Consider the following 9010-nt stretch of genomic DNA (forward strand, 5'->3'; position numbering starts at 1 on the left):
ACTAAACAAAAAAAATAGCAAGATGATTATTAGCTTTACGGTAAAATTGTAAAATTATATACAATATTATATTAAAGCTTCTATAATCTAAATCTATTATATATATAAATAACAAAAATCAAACCTAAGTGCCCAGAGACTGTTTCTAAACTTCTTATAATATAAAATATTTTATTTAATTTTCTAATGTCATGTCTGATTTCTTAGATAAGTACAATTGAAAAATTATCAGTCATTCACTTGTCCTGATAAAAACTGGTTTGATTATTTCTTTTTAGAATGCTTGTTAGAAAACTCTTCATGAAGTTATAAAATAACAGGAATTATTCCCATTTCACAGAAAAAGAAGTGAAAATAACACTACTGAAGTAATTAAATTACTTCTATCATTTAAAACACTGTTTTAAGATTTTCATCTATTTGACTAATAAAACTGATGTAATGATTGCACTTTTTCAAATGATTCAAAACCTAAATTACTTGAAAGAAACACAAAATGTTCTAGTGGCATTCTTTAAACACTGCCAGTTATGCACTGGTCTATAATTCCAATGATGTATATATCTCACCTTTGTGGGGCATAAACTACTTGAGGGTTGAAGTGCCTTATTTTCCCAAGAGAGCTTCTATGATATTTTTTATGTGGCAAGTGCCCAATTAATGTTGCCAATTGAATATTTATGTCTAACACATTCAAAAGTCTTCAAACTATTAGGTAATTCTCCAATAACCTTTGTGTGAAGTTCATGTATAAAATGTAATTATATTTCAAGTGTGTAACATAATATATATTTAGCAGGTAAGTGGAAAAAGAGTAATTAATTGGTTATTGAGGTCTAAGCCAATAAAGTGAAATTGCTAGTCAGTTGAGGGAAAGGGTTATACTGGGCTTAATCATCAAAGATGATTTCTTCAGTGGTTTATTTCATTTTAAAACTGTAGTTTTTAAACACTTAATTTGTTATTATCTTAACTATTCAATTTTTTTCTGAAATCTGATCGAGTTTTGGTAGATCATAACAAATTGTAATAGGTCACAACAAATTTAGCTCACGTTTCAAAATTTGTTATTAATAGATGGCTTCATGAAACCACTTAGTAGCATTTCTTTTCAATGCCAAGAAGAAAATTTTGTATGTCTTCATGTTATAATAACATTTTGATAACACTATAGATGAAAGAAAATGACAGGGGATTATAAGAAAGGTATTTAATTTAGCCCTCTTTATGGTTCAGGGCCATGTTAAAGCAAATCATGTAACTTAAAAATCTTCAGTATGCATGTGCTATATCTGTTGATATCATGCAGAGTTCATCTCTTAGATTAAATGAATAGATTTCAATAATAGAGAAAATGTATCAAAAGTTAACACATGCTAAAATTAAATATTTAGCACATTTTATATTTCCATTTTTCTTTAAATAAGTATACAAATAAAAATAAGATTTATAAATTAGCAGGACTGCTGAATTAGAAACCACTATTTTCAATATTACACTAACACATTATAAACAGAACTTCCATGTTCACCCTTGCAAATTCATCTACCTCTCTCTACCTACTAAATAACATTAGAAATCCGAAAAAGCTAAATTAACAAACTGTCTTTATAATCACCAATATAACTTTAACACATTAAAATTTCTGACAATTCTAAGTACATATAATATAAATACTGTTAAGACAAAGAATCTTGTTATGTTAATGTTATATTAACTATTTCAGTCTCCTCTTGGGTAAGCATGTAAAAATGGTTAAACAATAAATTTCTATGGCAACAACTTAAATTCTAGGATATTCTTAGTTATAGCAGCAGCCACAGAAGCTACTACTTCCTCTTAGGCAATGTAACTAAACAAGATCCTTCTTTCCTCCTTTTCCATTGGGCACAACTAAAATCTCTTTTACTTTAATGAACTAAAGAATGATTTAACTAGAAACAAGATATCTCAACTAATGTACATGATTAACTATAGTTACATGAACATTTTATGCAAAGACAAAACAAAGAGAAGATGCTAAGTATTTTAAAATGAAAGTTACATGGTGTGACCAAATGTATTATGTATCTTATAAACTAACATATACTTGTATAAAACTAATGTATATCAATTAATTGTTACAGAGATATTTTATCAAAATGAATAAAACCCTGCTAGATTAAATAAACAAATGTTCTTATACATGAAATTATTGGATATCTTTTGTACATAGATTTTCACATATATTATTTATTAAAATATTCTGATAGTCCTACAATTTTAGAGTCAATATATAGATGATTTAGTTTCAATCATTTGAATATCTGTAATTTATGAACTCATTTAGCACACTCATCTTTTCTTTTATGTGCTGTGTCTTCTTATATACTACTCTTGGAGAACACACTGAAGTTATCTCCACTGAATGAAGGGCAAATTTCTGTTGCTGCAAGAAATATCGGAAATATAAAGGGCCACCAATACATATTTGGCTGTGAATATACAAACTGAGTGCCTAATTTGTTACATAGTATTTTCATAAATGCTTTTTTTTTTTAAGATTGCCTTAAGAACTTGATCAGGTAAATGTACGTGATTACTTACTCAAAATATAAGGTCTTTGAGTACAAGGAAAATTGAATTTAAATTCCACTCCACTATTTACCATGTATGACCAGAGTTACTGCTGACTTTTCTTAAGCCTCAATTTTCTCATCTGTATAATGGAAATAGTATCTTACTAACTGCCCTGTGGTTGTGGAGATTAAATTAAATAATTACGTAAATCACTTAGCACATGCGTGGCACACAATGAATACTCCAAAACCATTGAAACTACTATTTAAAAATAATTTTACCCCTTTAACCTTGGTTTCTATACTGTAATTTCTTTTCAATTAAAATGAAGAAAAGTTCTCGCCTCTGTGCACATCTTCTATGAGAAGTTCTAGTTTCCTGACCTAGATTAGTCATGTATCAGTTTCAAAATTACTAACATACCTCACTAGATATCTGCCATTAAATGTCACCTTCCACCAGAGATGTTGTTTCTACATCTGTCATTTTTTCTTTTCTTTCTAAAGGTCATAACATTGTCGAATGTATGCCTCTTCTTCCCTAATTTTTCCATCACAAGTAAATCTGTTGATTGCTTACCGAGAACCCAGTTGTACTTTCTGTAAAAAGAATAAAGCCATCCTGTAAGAAATTAATAAATAGAAAACAACCCATAATATCTGTCAGAGGAGAGTAGGTTGCAGGTTTACTGTCATGAAATGCAGTCCACAAACAAAAGAATCAAGAGAGAAAATGATGAATGGCCTTAGGAATAGTCATGGTTTATAATAAAGATTTTATTAAAAAAGTGTTAAAATAAATAATACATATTCCAGAACATCACTGTTCTGAGAAATCACTTCCCTTTAGAATATGAGTTCTAGATGGCAGATCTACTTACAACTGCTCTGAGGTCTTTCACTAGCTGATTTATAATCCTATATTAAAAAAAAATCTATAGTCTGCAGTCTTTTGACATACTTCTCAAGGGTGGATATGTGGTGGAATGCAGACTCCATCAATATGTGTGGTTTTGTTTGCTTTTTGTAGCTTAACTGCTGTTTAGAAATCCCAGAGGAATATGATTGAGGCCAGAGTTACATTGGTTCATAAAATTCGAACAGTTGAAGCTGTTTTTGTTAATTGCTGGGCCACAACCAGAAATCCGGATGATGGGAGAGAAACACTTCTTTAGGATAATGATTAATTTCCATAAAGATGAGTGCTTTAACAAATTTCAATATGCAGTTGCTGGGGCGGGGAGGGTGGGTGGGCACTAATTAGTTTTACCGTTTTCAGCAGATGTTGAATTCAAAATGCCAGCAGCATCTCAAATGCCAGTCATTAGGTCTGTCTTTCATTGAGGAGTGCTGACCAATGAAATCTCCACTCTGTTTAATGAGACCTATCTAGGCAGAGTCAATTAAATCAAATCTCTCCTAACATCCTTAATATATCTGCAGTGTGGGCAGCACCAACAAAAGCAGCAGAGAGGGATTTCCAGTATTAATAAAGGGATTCACTGCTGCATTTGGAGAGGGGAAAAAAAGAAGGGGTGAGTGTTGGGGCAAGACCTTTATGGACTGGGGAAAGCCGGTAAAGTCTGAGCGAAGGTGGGGGTGGGGTAGAGGGTGGGGGCGAGGGAAGAGGAGCTACTTAAAGGGTAAAAAGCTAAGTAAGGCGATTAGAGAAAGAGCCTTAATGTAGCTCAGGAAGGGATCTAACCCCAACCGTTTCCCTCCCCTGTCTCTTCCACCGCAAATCCAATTTACCACTTGCAAATATGAAGCTGGAAAAAGGTAAGGACCCAGAGTTGAAAACATTTTCGCTTTAATACTGAAAAAATATGCCATTATAAAATCCTCGAATAGAATTAGTAAGTTTCACGTGCTTCCTCGGTTCTCTTTTCCTACTTTATAAGTAAGATTTATACCAGCACAGAATTGCTACCATAGGATCGCAGCCTAAGCACTAGAGTGACATTAATTGGTCATGCTTAACTGCCTCAAAATCATTTTTTAAATAATTACACTGATACTATAATAGAAATCATGGGTACTTATTTTACATTCAGATGGAAGGCATTATTGGATATGTATTAAAAAAAAGACCCCCTGAAAAAAATAAAATAAAATAAAACATCACCATCAAAATAAAAGAACCCAAAACAACCCCTAAAAACTTCCCTCAACAAAATACATTGTTAACTCATAAAATGGACTGATGACTAGCCATGCAAATGTCCTAAATAAAACCTTTACATTTTTTTCACAGTTAACTTATGCTCTGAACTGCCTACCGATCACAAATAATGGCGAAATGGCACTTTCTGATTATACTGTATTTTGTTTATAGAAAGTTTGATACGATGGAACTTATCAGGTAAGAGGGTGGGTGCTGTGAACGAGATGCCGTCTCCAGTCGCGGGGGCGGGCAGAGTCCCTGGAGCGCGTGGATTCCATGCGAGCCATGCAGCACTTTTTGTTTTTTGTCAGAAGTCAAAGTTACTTATTTACAATACATTCATGCCTTCGTGCAACTGCCCATCCCTGCGTAGCCAACAGGGAGCCATCACGGGGCTAATCCACAGGGGAAAAATAGATATCTATCTCTCTATATAGATGTGGATATATGTATATATGTATAGAACCGCGGCATCCAACCCCACAGGCCCCGGGGCCGAGGGCGAGGGCACTGTCAGTTCTTCCAGCAGGGTCGTGCTGGGCTTTCTGTCAAAAGGGGCTCTCAGCAAAGAGCGAGCTGGCTGCGCTCTCCCAGCTCTCCACAGTCTGCTCTTTGTTTCAAGGAGGGAGCTAAGTAAGGGGTCAGGCCCTTTCGGTTGTGCGAGCTCACAGTTATTTATCTACTTATGCCCATCCAGGCTGATGGCGCGGGGATTTGGGTACACGCCCCTCCAGCCCCCGGGGTGCCTGCGGTGGGGAAGGATGTATCGCCTTCCCTCTGCCCTCCCCTATTGGGGTTGGGGTCTTAGTCTGAGAGCGAGTGAGAGCCACAGTCATACACTCTGTGGGCCCCATCTGCGTTGTAAGGCCCATTGTGCCAGTAGGAAGAGTCACAGACTGTCTGTAGGGAATTAATCTCGGACGCGGAGGAGTTGGCATCTCGTCTCTTGGACCGCTTTCGGTTCCTCAGGATAAACACGAGCATGCCCACCACGGTGAAGGCGGAGGTGACAAACACCAGCAGCAGTCCCGGGACCAACACCGAGATGGACACCCTGCTGGTGTCTAGGTAGGAGTTGGAGTGCGTCCCGGTCTCCGCCAACCCAGTGCTGTTTTTACTGTGCGAAGTTAACGTGGGCGAGATCCTAGCGTACAGCTGAGGGCAGATCTCGTCATTGGAGAGGAGCATGAAATCCTTTCTAAAGAAGTTCACCGGCGTCTCACACTTGAGGTCGCTCATCAGCACTTCGGAACCCAAGCGTTCTGCCCACTGCTTGAAAGGCACAATTGTGCAGGAGCACTCCCAGGGGTTTCCGTGGAGGTCTATCTGGATGATGGAGGTTAACTGGTCCAGCACCCCTGCCACCGGGAGGTACATGAAGTAATTGTTGTGCAGGCTGAGTTTAGAGAGCGAGACCCCAGCGAACACGTCCACAGGCAGGGACCTCAGCAGGTTGTTGTTGAGAATGAGGATCCTCAGTTTGGGCATGGCATTGAAAGTGCCCGGGAGGATGAGCTGGATAGCGTTGTACTCCACGTTCAGGTACTCTAGGTTTTGCAGCCCCGCGAATTTCTCCCGGGACAGCGTGTCCAGGTAATTGCTATCCATGTATAGCCACCTGAGGTCCAAAAGGTTCTTGAAAGTGTTGTTCTCTACAGTAGCGATGTTATTGTTGCCCAGATCCAACAGAATGAGGTTCTTGTAATCCACAAAGTGCGATTTTCGGATGCTGTGGATCTTGTTATCTCGTAGGAAAAGCTCCTGCACGTTAGAGAGCTTGGGCTTCAAATCAGCCAAGCTGCTCACGTTCCTGTTGTTGCAGTTCATCTTTAAACCCGACCCTGGGATGTGGTCGCAGCTGCAGCCCCCAGGGCAGGGTAAACTGTTAGCTAAGGGTTTGTTCCTGGAGCTACCCGTCGCTATCGCTGCTGTGGGTCTGATTTTGATCTGCCAGTTGCCTGGGATCTTTGTACCTCCGTTTGGAGCAGACCCTGGTGTGGCATGATCCTCTTGCCCATTTGTCTTGAAAGGAGTTGGCAGGGGTCCAGGAGCAAAGGTCTCTTCTTGGGCAGGGGGCGCCGGGAGACTAGAATCCACTCGGTTTTTCAAAGGACACAAGTCCTGTTCGGTGGTTTCATTGAGGTCTTTACCCTGCAGTCTGGTGGGGGCTTCGCAGACCACTCGGCCGATCAGGGCATTCTTGGGAATGTTTTCCAGCCATTCTTTCAGGGAGAGCAGATCACAGGTGCAGTCCCAAGGGTTATCCTCTAGCAGGATCTCCGCAATACCAGGGATTTGCTCCAAGACCTCCTCATAGGGCAGCGTTTTCAGCCTGTTACCCCGGAGGTCGAGGTGGGTGATGGGCACATACTGGAACACGTTGGCAGGTAGGGTGCTGATGAGATTGTCATTTAAAATGAGCACCTCCAGCTTGTTCAAGTCCTGGAAGGCCCCCGGGTCTATATCTCGTAATAAATTAAAATCAGCCTGGAGATATTCCAGATCGTCCAGCCCCAGAAAAGTCTGCTTTCGAAAAGACTTGATCTTGTTGTTGTTGATGTGCAGCCTTTTCACCAGCTGCAGCCCCAGAAAAGCCCCCGGAACGATTTCATGCAAGCCATTGTTTTCCATGTGCAAACTAACCGCATTATAAAAGTTAGCGAACTCATTAGGGAAAAGTCGAGTGAGGGAATTGCCATGCAGAAATAAATGGTAAAACTGGGAAGTCGGGGCAGTGAAACGCTGCAGACTTGTGAAGCCCTTTTTTTCACAGTCTACGTGTAGGTCCCCTTCTATCTCATTGCAGGAACAGATCTTCTCTTTGCAAACGTCCCCTGTAACGTTTCCAGCGGCAAAACAAAGAGACGTCTCCAGCAACAGAATCCAAAGCAGCATTTTTAAAGCGAGCAATTCATCCCCGATCTCATCACAAAGTAACAGCGACCATCCTGCTCGCCACAGACACAATTCAAGTTCATTTAGTGCTCCAATGTCCGAAGCCAGGAAAGGAGAAGAAAAGGGTTTGGGGGGGTGGGGGTGGATTCCTTCCTCCCTAACCCCCCCGCACTGCAATAGCCCAGACGCCAGTCAATAATTATATCCACAAACTATCCAGGCACGTAGTGCAAGGCAAGCAAAGAAAAAAAAAAAAAAAAAAAAGTAGGAAAAAAACCCCACTCCCCCACAACACTTTAAAAATAACAGAAAAAGAAGTTAAATATATACATATAAATTAAAAGTACACCCTTACAGAATCTCATCTACTGATCTTCACTGATCAGAAATGAAACAATGCTAGTAATTAGAAGCAAGTGCATGTTAGAGAAACAAGCAGAGGGTTTGCAGCGTAGTACAGGCGCACTGCCTGTGCATGGCTGTGCGTCGGACTGACCTTGCCTCTCTGATACAAAGCAGGGTTTTCCGCGGCTTCTGTTGTTGAGGCTGCTGGTGGAGTTCTTGCTGTGGTTGCGGGTTGCCCAGAAGTCCCCCCGAGGTGCTGTCCAGTTCCCCCGGTGCTGAAATCACGCCCGACCGAAGGACTCACGCTGCCCAGCCAATGGCGCTGGAAAATTTCCGCAATCGCTGCGTTTTGTGGTTGTCCATCCTTTTCCTTTCCTCCCCTTCGGTCCTCTTAAGGCTTTTTTTTTTCTTTTCTGTGCTCTCGCTCTCGCTTACTAGCTCTTCTTTTCCTGTTCTCCTTCTCTTTCTTCTGCTCTTTCGGAATTACGTGGAGGGGGGCGGAGGGCGGGGGGCGAGTTGTCTGAGGGAGGAAGAGAGCGCGAGAATGAGGGGAGGGGGGCGGAGAAGAGAGTTGCTAAGAAGCTCTGCTCGTTCCAGCCTGGTGCACTCTGAAAGATCTGACACCCTCTGCTGATCTGCAGTAGCAAAAATCCATCTGGCTAGGGAATGCTGAAAGAAAAAAAAATCAATCCACGTACAGGGCAAGCGTTAAAAATGTGGGCATAAAAGGCTGACGATCTACATAGATGCTTATTTTAAATGGATTATTTGATTATTTTTGCGTGCTGGAAACTTTACCCTTTCCTTTCCTTAACGAGTTCACAGCCCCCACCAGCTCCACCATTCGGAAAGGAGTGCTTTTAAAACATTTATTTCCCAATGGCTTGAATAAAATTAGTGTCAGGGTGTCAAGCGAACAGCAATTTGAGGTAATTATACTGCACGCCATTTTCATCGGTTCTTTAAATGCATTTCTTCCTTCTCTGCGGCACAGTGTTTTACGCTATTTGATGTCTTTGAAACATTTCTTTTGGTATGTTCAAAGTGG

The 9010-nt window shown here is 40.2% G+C and overlaps 1 protein-coding gene across 2 annotated transcripts; it reads right to left on the bottom strand.

The window, feature by feature from the left end:
• Window positions 3315-8584, bottom strand: SLITRK1 (SLIT and NTRK like family member 1). Of its 2 annotated transcripts, NM_001281503.2 has the most exons (2): window positions 8114-8584; window positions 3315-7670 (listed from the first exon to the last, which is right to left on the bottom strand). In NM_001281503.2, exon 2 carries the CDS (start codon window positions 7615-7617, stop codon window positions 5527-5529), a length of 2091 nt encoding a protein of 696 aa, NP_001268432.1. In that variant the 5' UTR covers window positions 7618-7670; window positions 8114-8584; the 3' UTR covers window positions 3315-5526. The 2 variants fall into 2 exon arrangements, with proteins under 2 accessions (NP_001268432.1, NP_443142.1); NM_052910.2 differs by having other exon boundaries at window positions 3315-8503.

Source organism: Homo sapiens, chromosome 13, assembly GCF_000001405.40.
Source record: "Homo sapiens chromosome 13, GRCh38.p14 Primary Assembly".
NCBI lineage: Eukaryota > Metazoa > Chordata > Mammalia > Primates > Hominidae > Homo > Homo sapiens.

Bases quoted from the DNA above. Each gene is read 5' to 3' on its own strand.
- SLITRK1 (NM_001281503.2), bottom strand. From the start codon at position 7,617: ATGCTGCTTTGGATTCTGTTGCTGGAGACGTCTCTTTGTTTTGCCGCT.